The sequence below is a fragment of the Homo sapiens genome, chromosome 11 (genome assembly GCF_000001405.40).
Source record: "Homo sapiens chromosome 11, GRCh38.p14 Primary Assembly".
Taxonomy (NCBI): domain Eukaryota; kingdom Metazoa; phylum Chordata; class Mammalia; order Primates; family Hominidae; genus Homo; species Homo sapiens.
The window spans coordinates 48,039,271-48,057,187 of record NC_000011.10 but is presented as its reverse complement, the minus strand read 5'-3'; the positions used below and the strand labels follow the sequence as shown (position 1 = coordinate 48,057,187).

The following is a 17,917-nucleotide window of genomic DNA, read 5'->3' as shown; positions in this document are numbered from 1 at the left end:
CGCACCACACCAGGCAATGGGGGGCGGTCTGTATCATTAGCACCATTTTACAGTTGGGAAGGCAATCAGAGTCAGTCACTCTGCGGTAGGCCACACCACCAGGACACGGCATGCAAGCGTGCCACCCAGGTCTTCTGACTCTAAAGTCCCTGCTCTTTTCATATTTATGAGCTGGGTTACCTTGGGCAAGTTACTTAACCTCTCTGTGCCTGAGTTTTGTTTTGTTTTGTTTTGAGACAGAGTTTCGCTCTTGTCGCCCAGAATGGAGTGCTATAGCACAATCTCGGCTCACTGCAACCTCCTCCTCCCGGAGTCAAGCGATTCTCCTGCCTCTGTCTCCTGAGTAGCTGGGATTATAGGCATGCACCACTACACCCAGCTAATTCTTTTGTATTTTAGTAGAGACGGGGTTTCACCATTTTGGCCAGGCTAGTCTCGAACTCCTGACCTCAGATGATCCGCCTACCTCGGCCTCCCAAAGTGCTGGGATTACGGGCATGAGCCACCACACCTGGCTGCCGAGTTTTAGCATCTGTAAAACAGAGATTAGAACAGCACCTACCTTATCGCTTTATTGTGAGGGTTAAATGAGCTAAGTGATGCAAAGTACTTGGAAGAATAGCTGAGGTAGTAAGCACTCAGTGAAACTGTCACCATCATCATTATTAGTGCCACGCCAAACTGCCGCTCTAATAGTTAAGATAATAGCTGCCATTACTAAACATTGTGACAAGAACTGTATACTAAATGCTTTACACGCAACAACTCACTGAAACCTTACAACAATCTGAGTTTTTGTACCTATTTTACACTCAGGAATCTGACGCTCAGAGAGTGAGGTCAAGTAAACTGGTGAGAGCTCACACAACTAAGAGGGATCAAAGTCAGGATCTGAACTAGGGTCTTATGGATTATCTGGCTGAAACGTATTTACTGCATCAAGTAAAGCAATTATGTGTGCGTCTAACTTCTATTCAGATGTTAAAAATGCATACAGAATCAAGGGCACCTCCTTGATAAACAAAGCTGCTTTTGAGGCACCTTCGCCCAAAAGTACAAAAGAGGAAAAAAGCTCCACAATGCGTGTTAACTTTATCCACAGTGTGTGATACTAATCATCCCAGACCACATCCTACACGCACCACAACCTGAAAACCCACTTCCTCCCCAGAACACACCCCAGGGAGCACAAAAGTCAACATTCAGCTCCGGCTTCTCTGAGAACACCTTGTATATTGACCTATGCATGCCAGCAAGTAACCGAGCTGGAAAAAACATTCTCCCAAAGCCTGGAAAGGGATCAGAGTGCTTTGGGTTGAAATGCATCGCGTTTTCAGCACTGCTTATTGCTCCCAGCACTCGCAGAGCTGAGCCAAGCAAGCTAGCAGCGTCCTGCTGGATCCTGAGGTCAGTGACCAGAACGAGAGACAGGCTAGCCCAGTGGCCTTTTCTGGACCCAACTTCAGGGATCTACCTTCCTCACCTGACCCTGAAGCCCCAGGGTGGAATGGGACCCTCGTGCCCCCAGGACTGCACAGGGATGTCTGTCAGTATGCCTTGGAAGCTAGCCTGCCTTAAAGTATGGAACCTAGAGACGCTTCTGAGAATGTGGAGTAGAGGGTGGCACTGCTCTTCACTTGTCAGTCATAAGACCAGCCCTCAAGGCCAGAACTTACCAGAAACATAGAGAGGATATGACTGTCACACTGGTGGAGGTGAGGAGGAAAGAGGCCAAGAATGAAAAGCAAAAGGTTGACTGGATGTTAACCTCAGAGATCTGGCGGGAGATTTGGGGCCTTTCAGACCCCAAGGATTACTGTTGCATCAAAAGTTCCCATGCTTGCAGGCATTCAGCCAGGCAAAAATGCAGCCTGCTGCCACCAAAAGAATCCATATTCCCTGAATGCATGGTGAGTCCTGGCCACTTTGGAGGGTCATCTTTTGAGGGCCTACCATGTGCCAGGCACCATGCTAGGGGCTTTATTTATTTTTTTTTTATTTAGAGATGGGATCTCACTGCATCACCCAAACTGGAGTGCAGTGGCGCAATCACAGCTCATTGCAGTCTCAACCTCCCTGGCTCAAGTAATCCTCTCACCTTAGCCACCCAAGTAGCTGGGATTACAAGCATGCACCACTATGCCTGGCTAATTTTTGCATGTTTTATAGAGACAGGGTTTCACCATGTTTGCCCAGGCTGGTCTTGAACTCCTAGACTCAAGCAATCTGCCTGCCTCAGGCTCCCAAAGTGCTGGGATTACAGGCGTGAGCCACCATGCCTGGCTGCCAGCGGCTTTATATACCCCCCTTCAGTTACTCCTTCCAAACACCCTGTGAGAATGGGGACTGGCCCTTTAAAAAAAAAAAAAAGAAAGAAAGGAAAAAAATGAGGAAATTAACACTCAGAGGAGTTAAATAACTTGTTCTCATATAAAACAGACTCCGTGGTAGGACAGAATTAAAACCTACTCTAACTTACAGCTCATGCTCAACTTTTTTTCATAAAAGGGAATCCCGGGGGCCACACTGTGAGAGGCCTGGCGTACATCAGGGACTACAAGTCCGTGGGCAAGACCACAGAGAGGGCAAACAAGCGGTGAAATGAAATGAGACAGGAATCAGAAGATGATGTGCTTCTAACTAGGTGGGCAAGTCACTTCACCTTTCCAAGTCTGTTTCCTCACCTGAGAGATGGAGCCAATCTAAGAAGATAACGCAGACAAACTACTTGGCACATAAGAGGAGCTAAGATGTCATTTCTCTCAATGTGACTTCTTACAAACATAGACAAGATGACCTCTCCTTCATAGAGTTTCTGTGAGAGCAGAGGGCCTGAAGGGCAGAAACTTCCTGGTAAACTCTAATTTGCTATATAAGAGGTTGCACAATGGGGCCCCCTGTCCAAGTCTAGCCCCAGACATGTTTTGTTTGGCCATATATATTTTGTGAACTAGGGCCGGGCGCCATGGCTCACGCCTGTAATCCCAGCACTTTGGGAGGCCAAGGCGGGCAAATCACCTGAGGTCAGGTGTTCAAGACCAGCCTGGCCAACATGGTGAAACCCCCATCTCAACTAAATATACAAAAATTAGCCAGGCGTGGTGGCAGGCACCTGTAATCCCAGCTACTCGGGAGGCTGAGCCAGGAGAACTACTTGAACCTAGAAGGCAGAGGCTGCAGTGAGCTGAGATCATGCCACTGCACTCCAGACTGGGCGACAAGAGTGAAACTTCGTCTCAAAAAAAAAAAAAAAAAAAGAACGAGGTGCCAGAATTTAAACAACAGAATATTTCTCATAAAAATATAATTTCCTGGCCAGGCACGGTGGCTCATGCCTGTAATCCCAGCCCTTTGGGAGGTCAAGGTGGGCGGATCATGAGGTCAGGAGTTCGACACCAGCCTGGCCAACATGGTGAAACCCTGCCTCTACTAAAAGTACAAAAATTATCCAGGCATGGTGGCACACACCTGTAATCCCAGCTGCTTGGGAGGCTGAGGCAGGAGAAGCGCTTGAACCTGGGAGGCAGAGGTTGCAATGAGCCAAGATCACACCACTGCACTCCAGCCTGGGCAACACAGCAAGACTGTCTCTCAAAAATATATATATATAGTTTTATATATATATAAATTATATATATAAAATATATAATATTATATTTGACCTCTCCTTCAGAGTTTCCGTGAAGTTATATATATATTTTATATATATTTTTTATATATTATATATAATATATAGTATATAATATATAATATATATTTTATACATATATATTTATATATATTATATATCATATATTTTTATATATATTTTATATATATTATATTTTTATATATTTATATATAATATATAATATATTAATATATAATATATATTATATATTTATATATTTTATATATTTTTATATATTTATATATTTATATAATATATTATATATATTATATAAATATATTATATATAATATATTTAATATATTATATATAATATATTTATATATTTTTATATATATTTATATATTTTTATATATATAATATATATTTATTTTTATATATTTATATATTTATATATAATATATTTTATATATATTATATAAATTTTTTATATTTCCTGCTTCTGTTGGAGGGGAAAAAAAAAAACAATATCTGGAAACACAGAGCCACATTCTCACATGACAGTAAGGGCTGGCGATGAGTGGTGGCCACCTTTCAGAGGACATGACCCCTCCAACTCCACACCAGGGTCCTCAGCATGCTTCCCTCATCTCTGTGGCTGCCAGGCCCCTAGCGGCTGGTGGCCCACGTACTGCATAGTGAGGTGGTGGAGAGGGCACAGCTGCTCAGCCATTACTAGTTTCTCCATTTCTGCCAAGTGTTTATTGCACTGTAAGATTTTTGGTACTACTTCCCTGTTACCCAGGGATGCATGAAGGACATGTATTAATGGCGGTAAGGTAGGGTCAGCCCTTTTGGGCAAATAAGCTTGACACTCCCCCAAGCTCTTCTCTGTACCCTGCGTTTATCTGTCCCATCCTTTGAGATCTGGTTTCCCACTGATTAAGTTGCTCCCCTTAAAAGTATCAATGAAGAAACACAAACCCATGAGATCTCTGGTCTCGCCTGGCTTCAGAGGCACCCCCAACCACCCAGAGAGCAAAAGCCTTTGTCAAGCAAGGTGGAAATGCCTGCCCTGCTTTCACAGCTCTGGCACTAACCCAAGGCTGGAATGTTGAGGGCCTGCATTCCAGGCTAAAGCAAGGAGCGGGTGAGGCCACCCCTGGGCTCCAGAGGATGTCCAGGATCTCCTGAAGTCCTGGCAAGGAAAAGATCTTGATTAACGAGGGAGAGGCAATGCCTGCTGCAAGGGAACCACACTTGCACATTTCAAGAGCCTGAAAAGCATCCATCTATGCTCCCAGCACAAACTCACAGTTGAATCATGCCTCTACTATGTTCACAGACCAAACATACACACTGAGCTGGATGTCACTGTAGACGGGCTAGCTCACATCTTTCCAAAAATTCTAAATTTAGCCCCATCCTGACGGGATCCAGGGGTAAACCTACAGGCAATTCTAGACACTAGAAAGAAAGTGCAGAAGAAGACAAAACTCTGCCCTCAAGAAGCTTAGACACTTCACCTTCATACTGGGTTAAGCACCATCGCCATCATCATCATCATCGATCTTTATTGTCACTATCATCACTGTTACCAAGGCACTAACGTTCACCAAGTGTTCACTGTGTCCCAGGTTGCATTTGATTCTCGTTACATTCAGATATGACTATCATCTGCCTATGCAACACGAGAAACCTGAGGCTTAGCAAAGTTAAAGTAATTTGCTCAAAGTCATAGAAGAAGCTAGAATTCAAACCCAGGAAGTCTGACTCCTGAACTCATGCTCAAAATGCCAGAGAAGTATCATTTTCTGATTTTCAGATGAGGGAGCTGAGCCCCAAAAAGTTTATGTAATTTGTTTAAAAACTAGGTAGAGGTCTCACTCCCAAGCCCACAGGGCTGATGTGAAGAGTAAAGGAAGCCAGTTATGCAATGCCCTGAGGTCAGTGGCTGGCTTATAGTAAGCAGTCAACTGCTCTTAGTTATCATTAACATAATGATTCTGATGTCCAGATGAGACCCACCCCACTGTGACCTGGAAAACCTCTCTGAACACCAGGAGTAGGTTTTTCCACATCACATTTAATCAGCACAATCAGCAAAAGAATCATTTTCCTATGCCATGGGTGGGGGGAAAAGCATGATCAAGTGACTTCCTCTAAATAAAAAACAGAAAACACGGCCAGGTGCAATGGCTCACGCCTGTAATGCCAGCACTTCGGCAGGCCGAGGTGAGCAGATCACTTGGGCCCAGGAGTTCGACACCAGCCTGAGCAGCATGGCAAAACCCTGACTTTACCAAAAATACAAAAATTAGCCAGGCGTGGTGGTGCGCACCTGTAATCCCAGCTACTCAGGAGGCAAGGCAGGAGAATCGCTTGAATCCGGGAGGCAGAGGTTGCAGTAAGCCAAGATCGCATCATTGCACTCCAGCCTGGGTGGCAGAGCGAGATTCCATCTCAAAAAAAAAAAAAAAAAAAAAAAAAAAAAGTCATCAGTTAACTGGCTATCACCTCTGAAAAGTACTATATTAGTCCTGACTGGAAGACAGAAATATTCACCAGACGCCTTGGCAAAACAGCTCTGTTAGGGTTACCAAAACTGGCAAGTGAGCTATTTCCTAGAAACCAGCCACTCCCATGAGATGTATAAAACATAAGACCACTAGGACACCCCCTAAAAGCTGCCTGCTACAGAAAGAGGCACAGTGCACCTCGGCTCAGACATGTGTTGCTGAAAAAGTATGCCTAAAGGGGTGTTGTAAATTGAACCCAATTCATGGCGTAACAGGAGGGAGCTGTGTTTTACAGAATCCATGCAACAGAGTTATCTAATTTTATCATCAGAAAAAAAAAATTCCCTAAATTTACTGTTCTATTTGAGGTTTTTTATAAATTGGATTTTCTAAGTACAAGACATCTCAGCAAACTGCATGCTCTAATGTTCAATGAACTCTCCAAATAAAGGCTCAGGGGCTTCAAATACAGCCTGGAATACAGCAGGCATTTGAGCACTGAGGAACAAATGTGTGAAGAAATGTGTGAACAGGAACTATACATATTGAATTGAGGAAATCACAGTTACATGTCATCATACCTTGTCCAAACCCACAGAATGTAGAATGCTATGCATGAATTCTAACAGAAACTATGGACTTTGTGTGATAGTGATATGTCAATGTACGTTCATTGATTGTTCCACTCTGGTGGGGGTGTTGCTAACGGGGGAGGCCGTGCATATGTGGGGGCCAGGGGTATATGGGATATCTCTGCACCTTCTGCTCAATTTTGCTGTGAACCTAGAACTACTCTAAAAATAAAATCTATTTTAATAAAGAAAGAAAATCACATTTGACAAAATGTGACAGGTTTACTAGTCATGTGTAAAAAAACAAACTCATACAGTCTGTGTGCATACACCACAAAACACGCATTCTCAAACCATCTGACTGAAGAGGCTACGAAACCTGAAAGGCAGGTTCATCCACAGCTTTACGGAAAGCACAGGAATGTTCCGCTGACTATATATTCTCCACGTGTCTGTCAGCAGACTCAAAAGAGGCCCTTCTAGTTTTCACCTGGTTCTTTTTAATAAAAAGTGCTTTTATCCACAAAACTTCAATAAATCTAAGACTATGATTTTTCCCCCAAGCTTCCATTGCAAAAAGAAAATATTTTAAGAGGGTTTCATATAGGAGGGCTACAAAAGGCCTGCAGTGTAATTTAATTTTCATGATGAAAGGTTACCCCACATTAAGCCCACTGTCAATCTGTCTGCCCACACAGAGGGCTGCAGTTAAAGCAGCAGGGTGCTCCAGGTTTTCTAAGATAGTACCAATTCTTTTTTTTTTTTTTTTTTTTGAGACAGAGTTTCACTATTGTCGCCCAGGCTGGAGTGCAATGGCGCGATCTCGGCTCACTGCAATCTCCACCTCCCAGGTTCAAGCGATTCTCCTGCCTCAGCCTCCCGAGTACATGGAATTACAAAAGTGCGCCACCACACCCGACTTGTTTTGTTTTGTTTTGTTTTGTTTTGTTTTGTTTTGTTTTGTTTTGTTTTAGTAGAGACGGGGTTTCACCGCATTGGCCAGGCTGGTCTCGAACTCCTGACCTCAGGTGATCTGCCCGTCTTGGCCTCCCAAAGTGCTGGGATTACAGGTGTGAGCCACCGTGCCCAGCCAACAGTACCAATTCTAAATGTTGTACCTTTCTCCATCTCCACGTACATCCTGGCTTAGGGTTTGAAATGGTTGCCATGACTCGGTGGTTCTCAATTAGGCAAGATTTTGTCCCCCAGGGGACATCTGGCAATGTCTGCAGACATTTTGGCTGTCACAACTGGGCAGAGTTGGGAGGGGGGTGCTACTGGCATCTAGTGGATAGAGGCCAAGTATGCTCCTAACATCCTGCAATGCACAGGACAGCGCTCACAACAAAGACTCATCAGACTCCAAACGTCAGTAGTGCCGAGGCTGAGAAACTGTACCAGAACCTGGAAGCTTACTAGTGGGAAAGCTAAGGGAGCTTTAGAACCACCCTGCTCCGGACTATAAGTGAAGGTTTATTCCAAGCAGCAACTGTGCTCTCTGGGTGCCACACAGCCCTCCAGCATTGGCTGTGTGAGCCTGGACAGTGACTGACTTTTATACAAGCCTTAGATAGGCGTCAGCTGTAAAATGAGGATAACAGAAATATCTGCCTTCCAAGACTGTGAAAGTGATGTGAGATTGTGTACATAAAGTGTTTATTTTTATGTTTATTTTTGTTTTTATTTTTATTCTTGAGATGGAGTCTCGCTCTGTCACCCAGGCTGGAGTGCAGTGGCACAATCTTGGCTCACTGCAGTCCCTGCCTCCCAGGTTCAGGAGATTCTCCTGCCTCAGCCTCCCTAGTAGCTGGGAATACAGGCACGCGCCATCACACCCGGTTAATTTTTGTATTTTTAGTAGAGACGGGGTTTCGCCGTGTTGGCCAGGCTGGTGTCGAACTCCTGGGCTCAAGTGATCTGCCCGCCTCAGCCTCCCAAAGTGCTGAGATTACAGGCCGGAGCCACTGCGCCCGGCCCATAATGTGTTTAGAGTGCTCCCGTGGCCAGCACACTACAAACACAAAATGCATGAAAAACAAACAGCCAACTGAAATGCCTTCTGCACTGCAGCAGTCATCATGGCCGTAAGCTGTGCAGCAGCAGGCCTGAAGAAGCATCCAGCAGAGAGAGGAGTCTTCCCAGCAGCGGGGCACTGCCACTTAGGAGGCAAGGAGAGCTGAGGCAGATCAGGTTCTGTGAGAAGGGGTATCAACAACTGAGCAGAGCTGCTTGGGATTACCTGTATGCCCAAAGATGTCCTGGATGAAGGCACTGACCTCCCAAGCAAAGGCAAGGGAAGGAGGGACCCAGGTACCAGAGACTCTCAGTGCAGCATTTGGTGGGAGGAAGGCAAACACTATCAAAGAAAAGGATTCGAAACAGCAGCAGACTAAACTGCAACCCCCTCCAACATATCCTTTTAATAACATGGACAACGACAACTGAAAAATGCATGTTCAGGGGCCTCAAACAGGCCCCCAAAACGCCCCCAAAAGCCGTTAATGACCAGAACCAAATAAAGTTACTAATAACCAAACTGGGAAGTACACAGCCCCCACAAAAGCCCCCACAAGACGTGAAGGCTGCATGTGCAGTGGAACTTCTGTTTCCAAACAGAACCACCCGGCATCTGCCCCAGGCCACGTCAGCCCCACCCCACCCCCAATCCCATGCCATACTCATGCTCACAAGTCACCAGTGGCTCAACTTGGAATTTCCAGACTTATGTTTTCTAAAACTTTGAGCAGAGTTTAAAAATTACCAGAGATTAGCCTGGGTGACATGGCAAAACCCTGTCTCTACCAAAAAAGTGCAAAAATTAGCCAGGCATGGTGGCACGCGCCTGTCGTCCCAGCTACTTGGGGGGCTGAGGCAGGAAGATCGCTTGAACCGGGAGGCAGAGGTTGCAGTGAGCTGAGATCCCACCACTGCACTCCAGCCTGGGCAACAGAGTAAGACCCTGTCTCAAAAAAAAGAAAAAAAAAAAAAATTACCATAGGTTAATGTTGACAACAAATTTGAGAGGTTTATTTTAAAAAGCTTTTCACCCTAACCCTAACCGGGAGACCCCTGCAGCAGGCAGAGACCCTCACTCTGACCTTTAGACCAAGACAACTCACACTCCTCAGTCCAAATTACAACAGGCACAGGACTTCACTTTACTTGTTAGCAACTCTCAACTTTTTAAAAAATGTGTTCAAGAGTTCACCAAAATGTTAACAAAAGGATTGATAATTCTTCTGCAAACTGCTTTTTAAACAATTTTTATGTAAGGCCTGGCACTGTGGCTCATGCCTGTAATCCCAGTGCTTTGGGAGGCCGAGGCAGGTGGATCACCTGAGGTCAGGAGTTCAAGACCAGCCTGGCCAACATGGTGAAACCCCATCTCTAGTAAAAATACAAAAATTAGCCAGGCGTGGTGGTGCGCACCTGTAATCCCAGCTACTCAGGAGGCTGAGGCAAGAGAATCACTTAAACCCAGGAGGCAGAGGTTGCAGTGAGCTGAGATCACACCATTGCGCTCCAGCCTGGGTGACAGAACAAGACTCTATCTCAAAAAAAAAAAAAAAAAAAAATATATATATATATATATATATATGTAAACATATTATTCATAGAAAGGCAGCATAGAAGGACAGAATTCAACCTACGGTCTGCTCAAATTCAGGTCCTCTTTTGTGCAAGCTGGGATAAGTTACCCAGCCTCTCTGAGCCTAAGTTTACACACAAGTAAACTGTAATAATCCACATAGGGTAGGGGGGAAGCACAGGGGAAAATGTAGTAACATGGTGCAATATAAAGCATTTGAGTAAAATGAGCTAAAATCCTAATTCTCTCTCCAGTACCCAAACCCTAATCATCACCCTCTCCCCACAACACCACAAAAGAAACCATAATAAGGGATCTTTATCCCCAGACTCTCAGCTCTGTGAGAACAGAGAACTTGTCAGTCTCATCCACCAAAGCCAAGTTCAGGCCAGGGCCCAGCACAGAGTAGATACCTAATAACTACCTGTTGATGAATAAATGGATGACAGCAACCCTTGGCAAAGAGCTCTTAGTCTCCATTTCCTTACCTATAAGACAGAGATATTAGCCCATTGTACCACTGTGAAGATTAAATGAACTAACTTGGCTGGGCATGGTGGCTCATACCTGTAATCCCAGCACTTCTGCGAAGCGATTTGGAGACAAGAGGATCTCTTGAGGCCGGGAGTTCAAGACCAGCATGGGCAACATGGCAAAACCCCATCTCTACTAAAAATACAAAAAATTAGCCAGACATAGTGGTACACAGCTGTAGTCCCAGCTACTCGGGAGGCTCAGGTGGGAGAATCACCTGAGCCTGGGAAGTCAAGGCTACAGTGATCTGTGATTGCACCACTGCACTCCACCCTGGGCCACAGAAGTGAGATCCTGTCTCAAAATAAATAAATGAGCTAACGTATGGAACTGTGCTCAACCCGGGCCTCAACCTAGGTGCTCCATAAGGTAGCAAGTCACCCCTTATAAGGCACAGATGACATCACAAACAGAAGAAAACTCTGAAATGGTTGCAATAACCATTTCAAATGGTTGTTCAACTAATGGTTGAACACGATCAGGAGGTATTTTCATTTTGTCCTCCACTCACGGGAACACATGTAGAACCAAACTTGTTAAGTACCAGGTGGCCAGGCCCTCACCCCACTGGCAGGCAGCAGGGCAGGGGTGCAGCCTGCAGAAGGCCAAACAACTGGGCCACAACCACCTGCCCTGACCCAACAAGGGTCTGGGAAACTTGCCCCACACTCACTGCAGCAGAACTTCTCTACTCGAATACTGCACCAGCTCCCTTCCACCCATCACTGCCCAGATAGCCATGAGGGGCTCAAAACCACAGGCGGGCAGAGAAAAGGGAGGCGGAGAGAAGGGAAGAAAACCAAACTCTGGAAAGACAAGCCCTTGATATCTGCAAAAGTCGGGAGCAAACGGTTTCCATTTATTACTTGGACAAAGAGACACTCCCACCATCCTGAATTGAGACATTCTCCCACTCAGTTCCATGTGGCAGGAACCAAAGCAGCTTCAATCTTGAAGGATGTCTCTGATCACTCTCAGGGCCCACTCATAATCCATATTCATAGTCCAGGGTCACCCAATGGGATCAGGGCAGAGAAAGCACTGCAATGAAGGAGGAGATTCAAGCCCAACTCTGCCTCTGCTCGCTTGGGGACACCAGGTGGTTCCCAAAACCTGTCTGGGATCTACTCTCCCAGTGAGGAGATAAAATAAAGAGGTTCTAAGTAAGGACTCCCTTCCAAGGTCTATCTGCATCAGAAGGAAGTTCAAAATCCAGGCCTCAAATTAACATACAGAACCTAAAGTTACCTAATTCTCCCAAAGGGCAATCCCAAATCCCATAATTACGGGGGAAAAGAGGAACTGAATGGGTACCCCAAAGGTGCTACTCAAAACCTGATCCTACTCCTGCAATAAGAGGTGTTACCCAGGGAGGAGAAAAAAGGGAGTGGCAAAGAGAAGAACAAAATTCTGGAAGGTGCTGAGCAAGTGAAAAAGAGATCATCCCCAACACCAATATTCTTTCATTCACTCAGCAAACACTTATTACGAACCTGCGATAGCCAGATGCTGTCAGCAGCTTGGCACACAGCAGTGAACAAGGCCAACGCCAACCGTGAAGGCTTCAACTCTGTCTGTGGTCACTGCTAAGTCCAGCCAGCCCTTCCTTCCCCTTTAGCTTTGGTCACTTGACTTGGCCTGCATCCTCTCTCTGGCTTTAACAGAGTAGAGGAACGAATACCAGTCTTGGAAGAGTAGCTGCGGTCCAACTACCTTACGATCTGAAACAAGTCTCCATTTTCTCATGTATGAAATGGGGTATACAGAACCACCTGAGCCTGCCTGCCTACCTTGTCTCTTGTGAAACCCAAAACCCAGTTGTTACATATGAAAAGTTAAGCAAATGAGTTATTCCCTCGCCCAACCTCGCTAGCCAGCCAACCAGCTTTGGAGATCCCTTAGAGTCCTGCTGAAAATCACATGCAACAACCATCCTAGCCCCAGCTAGGTTCCAGGGTGATCCAATTCCTCTTAGGCCCTCGCCACCTGCCAGGCCTGACCTCAGAGCAGCTGTGAATCTGCCCAACCATACAGTGGCCCTCATGAGGTTACATTTCCCACCCCCGAGGTGGGACCCACTGAGGCAGTCAACTCTATGTCCAGCTGGGCGAGGAATGAGTTCAACCATATGAAGCACATACGCCTCAAAACAAACACAAGTGAAAAACCCAAAAGGAGACCTCACTATACCAGAGAAGGCTGTGCGGGCCAAGGCCAAAGCCCCCACAGCCCTGAGCATCAGAGCTTCCTCATGTCTTTCGCATGTGCGCAGTCCCTCCTGCAGGAGGAAAAATGCCCAGAGCCTTCTGAGTAAGCTGACCACCTAGTTTTGGAACATCCTAGAGTGTCAAAGCAACAGTGAAGGAGTATGCCTCCCTTCAGAGGGAGGGGAGAGGGCTGCACACTGAGGATGTCAAAGGTTCCTCCAGCAGCAGCCTGTGTGGTTTCAAAGCCAATTAGAAGCTGTAAGATAGAGAGTCGCTGGCTGCTGGCTCCCTTTAAACCCCCGCTTCCTCCACCTGTAGGATGGTTTCGAGAAAGAAGCACAATGCCAGGCATAGGGCATGCACTCGGTAAACAGAGCCATTAGCCCACCATGGCTTAGCCCCTTCAGAGACCCCCACCCCACAGACCCCTCCTCAAGGATCCCACCGTCCATTTCACTGGACCTTGACATTTTGAGATATCTCTTTGGGGGTGGGGGAGACTCAGGGCAGAGAAGGAACAAAAGGAAAAAAAGAATTATTCAACCATTTCCTTCCCTCTTCTGCTTTGACCGTCTGCTGTCTTATACAGGTGGCACTTGTTCTGGTTAACTGAGCGCTGAACTTCTTCTCAAGACAAAAAACCACTGCTTTCCCCTCACTCACTGATGCTCAGCTCCCACAGCCCTCTAGCCAAGAGGTTGCTGGTCTTGCTCTACCTAGGTCTTCCTGGCCTGAGGAGTATGGTTCTGTTCTTCCAGAAACAAAAAAACCCAACTAGAAGCCAGGAAATGTGGCTCCTGCCTGTAATCCCAGCTACTCAGGAAGCTGAAATGGGAGGATGGCTTGTGCCCTGTTCGAAGCTGCAGTGAGCTATGATCATGGCACTGCACTCCAGCCTGGGCAACACAGCAAGATCCTGCCTCTCTTTAAAAATAAAAATAAAAATAAAATATCTGGCTAAATATGACCCCATTTATAAATATGGAGCTAAAAGAGAAAGTTCAACACAAAAGGAAAGTGATCAAAGATTGTGAAAACCATGGTCTGCACTTGCACCAGGCTCCAGATCTCCCAGGTCAATGCCCACTCTGTGGGAGTTTATTTTCTTTCTCATAAAGCAGCCTACCAGCTACAATTCTATACTTTTGTAAGACTTTTCATATTATCAGAATCACAAATCAAAAGAAAACCTTTTATCAGACTTGAGTCTGATTCCAGGACTGGAAAATATGGCTATCTATGTTTCTTTGGGTCTTACATTTCAGGAAGTCCTGTTCTACTCTGCACAACAGCTTCCTAATCAATCATTCTTCCTTCCCAGCCCCAAACCCAGCTCGCTCTCTCTTACTCTCTTTCTCTCTCTCTCTCTCTCACACACACACACACACACACACACACCCCTACACACACACACAGGCAAAAGAAAGTCAGAACCCAGGGCCATAGATTTATCCTTGTAAATGTCTCCAATGTTCTAAACCGCTGTACTCCAATACTGAATACTCACCCCTCTAGCTTCAGGACACAGCACTGTTTTGGTTTAGAAGAGTGGAGGGGAGGAAGGGATTTCCAATCATTGGCAGAACATCAATTTCTAGTAAATTTGCTAAAATTACTCATGTAATTAGTCATGTAACTCAAAATATAATTTTCCAAACTCAAAAGACAGAAGGGAAAGAGAGAGAAAATACAAGACATGCTTTCCCTGTCACACAGGAGCACCAGAAAATCTTTACCTTGATTGCCCCAAAATGAAAAAGCCCATTGGTTCAAACATTAGAAAAATACACCACGTGCTGGCCCCAGTGGAGCAACAATTCAGGACACAGAGTGTTCTATTCATGAGCAGAACATAAGAGAGATGTTTTCTTTGACTATTCAGAGCCTCATCAGTCATGTTCTACTGGGCAAATAAAATTCATATGACCAAAAAGACACTGAAGAGACCCCTTATAACATAACTCCTCATTGCTGCAACACCCTATCCAGCAGTCCTGTGTCCTTCACAAAAGGTGAACTCAGTCTAACAGGGATATCAGATTCTGAACTATTCAAAGAGATTGTATCTTTATTGATTCAATAAACAAGTACACCGTGGCCTTCGTGTAAATGCAAACTATTTGAGAAGGAAAAGCCTTCCTCTCTCTCTCTCTCTCCACCCCCCACCCACCCCCCACCTCAAGAGTTGGACAACTGGGAACCTTCCAGGGCCCAAGCACCTAAAATTCTGTTTAAAAAATTGTCAGGCTGGGTGCGGTAGCTCATACCTGTAATCCCAACACTTTGGGAGGCTGAGTCAGGCCAATTGCTTGAGCTCAGGAATTTGAGACCACAGCAAAACCCCATCTCTACAAAAAGTACAAAAATTAGCCAGGCATGGTGGCACGTGCCTGTGGTCCCATCTACTCAGGAGGCTAAGGTGGGAGGATCGCTAGAACCCAGGAGGTTGAGGCTGCAGCGAGCCATGATTGCACCACTGCACTCCAGCCTGGGTGACAAAGCAAGACGCTGACTCAAAAAATATTAATTAAAACAAAATAAAAGATTGTCATATTTCCCTGAGTCTCAGGGATAAAGCCTTTCAGCTTTAAATCCTACATGTGCCTCATAATGCTCAGAAGCCACAGTCAACTCTGGTGAGACTTCTCATCTGAGAAACAAAGAGAAACAGGGCCCTGGTTTCTTTATTTTTGTGATGAAGTTTGTAGTAACGCTATGTGTCTGGGAATTCTACGTGGGTTAACAATAAATAAACTGTATAGCACACATGGAATGCATGCACACAGTAGGCCTTCAATGAGTAGCAGTGTGTATGAGAGTTATTAGTCAAACCCGGGAATGGTCAAGGAACAGAAACGCTCAGCCTTCCATCTCCCTGCATTTTCACACGAATCCTTCATTCCACACACAGTCTTGAGCCCCTGCTGGGTGCTAAGCATTGAGTTGGGAGGTACAGAAATGAAGAACGCATGATGCCTAACTTCAAGACGTGAATGATCTAGTTGCGAGGGAGACATAGATAAAACCCAGCATAGTGAGCTCAGTGACACAGAAAGAGGATGTACTCAGGGTGGACTGGACTGGCATGAATTTCCAAAAGTGGCCAACAGGAACTAGCCAGGTGGAGGAGGAGCAGGAGGGTGACACAGACGGAGGGTGCAGCCAGCCTAAAAGGTCCATAAAAGAGAGGGCAGTGCACATGTGCAGGACAACCCGGAGCTCTCCACGGCTGTAGTGAACAGAAGAAAAGAATGTAAGAGGGGCATGGTGGCTCACGCCTGTAATCTCAACATTTTGGGAGGCCGAGGCGGGCAGATCACTTGAGGTCAAGAGTTTGAGACCGGCCTGGCCAATATGGTGAAATTCCATCTCTACTAAAATTACAAAAATTAGCCGGGCATGGTGACAGGTGCCTGTAATCCCAGCTACTTAGGAGGCTGAGGCAGCAGAATTGCTTGAACCCAGGAGGCGGAGGTTGCAGTAAGCCGAGACTGCACCATCGCACTCCAGCCTGGAAAGACTCCGTCTCAAAAAAAAAAAAAAAAGAAGAAGAAGAAGAAGAAAGAAAGTAAGAGAAGCTGGAGAGGTGAGCAGTCACCTGTCCTATCACCCTGAAGGCAACAAGGAGCCAAAAAATAATTTTTGACGGTGGAATGGCACAACCAGATCTGCACTTTAGAAACAACTCTGTTTAGTGGCAGTGGTACGGAAAATAAATTTGTGGAGGCTGCAAAAAAGCAAAGATGAGCAAAACATATGGAATCCCTGTCAAAGCTGTGTACATAAGGAGACTAGCCAAATTTGGGCTCTGGGGAAAGAATTTCTTTTACTCCAGGTAAATGTTTACATCTCACTAGGTGCACACGCATGTGCGCGCACACAGCATCCTGCGGTCTCTATGATGGAGTTCCTGGTGCTGTGTTGTTTAGCAAAGCCTGTGCTATCTGGGAACTTCGGTGAGAAGTAACACCTACCTGCAGTTTGTCTCCAAAGAAAACAAATCTGAGACTTAAAACTCAGAGACGCTCGGGGACAGGATGCATTGGCAATGTCAAGAAAAGGCAAAAGCGGCCAGGCGGTGTGGCTCACGCCTGTTATCCCAGCACTCTGGGAAGCTGCAGCGGGCAGATCACTTGAGGTCAGGAGTTCAAGACCAGCCTGCCCAACATGGTGAAACCACGTCTCTAATAAAAATGCAAAAATTAGCTGGGCATGGTGGTGTGCGCCTGTATTCCCAGCTAATGGGGAGGCTGAGGCAGAAGAATCGCTTGAACCCGGGAAGCGGAGGCTGCAGTGAGCCAAGATCACACTACTGCACCCCAGCCTGGATGACAATAGCAAAACTCTGTCTCAAAAAAAAAAAAAGAAAGGGCAAAAGGGAGACTGGGGGGACACTTACCTATTACTGTCAAACTTAACAGTGGGAGCCCTAAAGCCTCAACCAGTGCCTCAATAAAACTTCAAAAATAAGAGGGGTGAGGGGTGAAACCCACAGAGACCATGTCCAGTAGAGAAAAAGAAATGATGTTATTCAGAAAGAGAAAAGAGACAGGAAAGGAGTAGGGAAGATTCAGGATCAATTCAATAAGTCAATAAAGGCCACACACGTGCATACACACACACCACAGTGTTCAATAAAGGCCACACATGTGCATACACACACACACACACACACACACACACACACACACACCATAGTGTTGTATTTGGCAAAGTTATATGGTATATGGACTGCAGAACAAGACAGACCTAAATTTAATCTCCAGCACTGCCATTTACTATATGACTTTGTTTGAGGCAGTTTGTTGTTTTTTTTTTTTAACCTCTCTAAGCCGCAGGTTTTGCCACTGCCTGAATAACAAAACCCTATCTCATGGGTAGATATAA

General features: G+C 45.6%; 1 protein-coding gene across 4 annotated transcripts in view, besides 4 other annotated features; it reads right to left on the bottom strand.

The window, feature by feature from the left end:
• Positions 1-17,917, bottom strand: part of PTPRJ (protein tyrosine phosphatase receptor type J) — a 190,281-nt gene that overhangs the window by 113,652 nt on the left and 58,712 nt on the right. The window lies entirely within an intron of this gene.
• Positions 362-863: an enhancer, noted in NCBI's record as "NANOG hESC enhancer chr11:48077877-48078378 (GRCh37/hg19 assembly coordinates)". NCBI's record gives its function as "activates a minimal SCP1, AML or CMV promoter by ChIP-STARR-seq in primed H9 embryonic stem cells {active_cell/tissue: H9 hESC(primed)}" and the evidence as "EXISTENCE:reporter gene assay evidence [ECO:0000049][PMID:30033119]".
• Positions 4,557-4,851: a silencer, noted in NCBI's record as "tiled region #8111; K562 Repressive non-DNase unmatched - State 7:EnhWF". NCBI's record gives its function as "represses a minimal TATA promoter and a strong SV40 promoter by Sharpr-MPRA in K562 cells {active_cell/tissue: K562}" and the evidence as "EXISTENCE:reporter gene assay evidence [ECO:0000049][PMID:27701403]".
• Positions 5,320-5,819: an enhancer, noted in NCBI's record as "H3K4me1 hESC enhancer chr11:48072921-48073420 (GRCh37/hg19 assembly coordinates)". NCBI's record gives its function as "activates a minimal SCP1, AML or CMV promoter by ChIP-STARR-seq in primed H9 embryonic stem cells {active_cell/tissue: H9 hESC(primed)}" and the evidence as "EXISTENCE:reporter gene assay evidence [ECO:0000049][PMID:30033119]".
• Positions 5,820-6,321: an enhancer, noted in NCBI's record as "H3K4me1 hESC enhancer chr11:48072419-48072920 (GRCh37/hg19 assembly coordinates)". NCBI's record gives its function as "activates a minimal SCP1, AML or CMV promoter by ChIP-STARR-seq in primed H9 embryonic stem cells {active_cell/tissue: H9 hESC(primed)}" and the evidence as "EXISTENCE:reporter gene assay evidence [ECO:0000049][PMID:30033119]".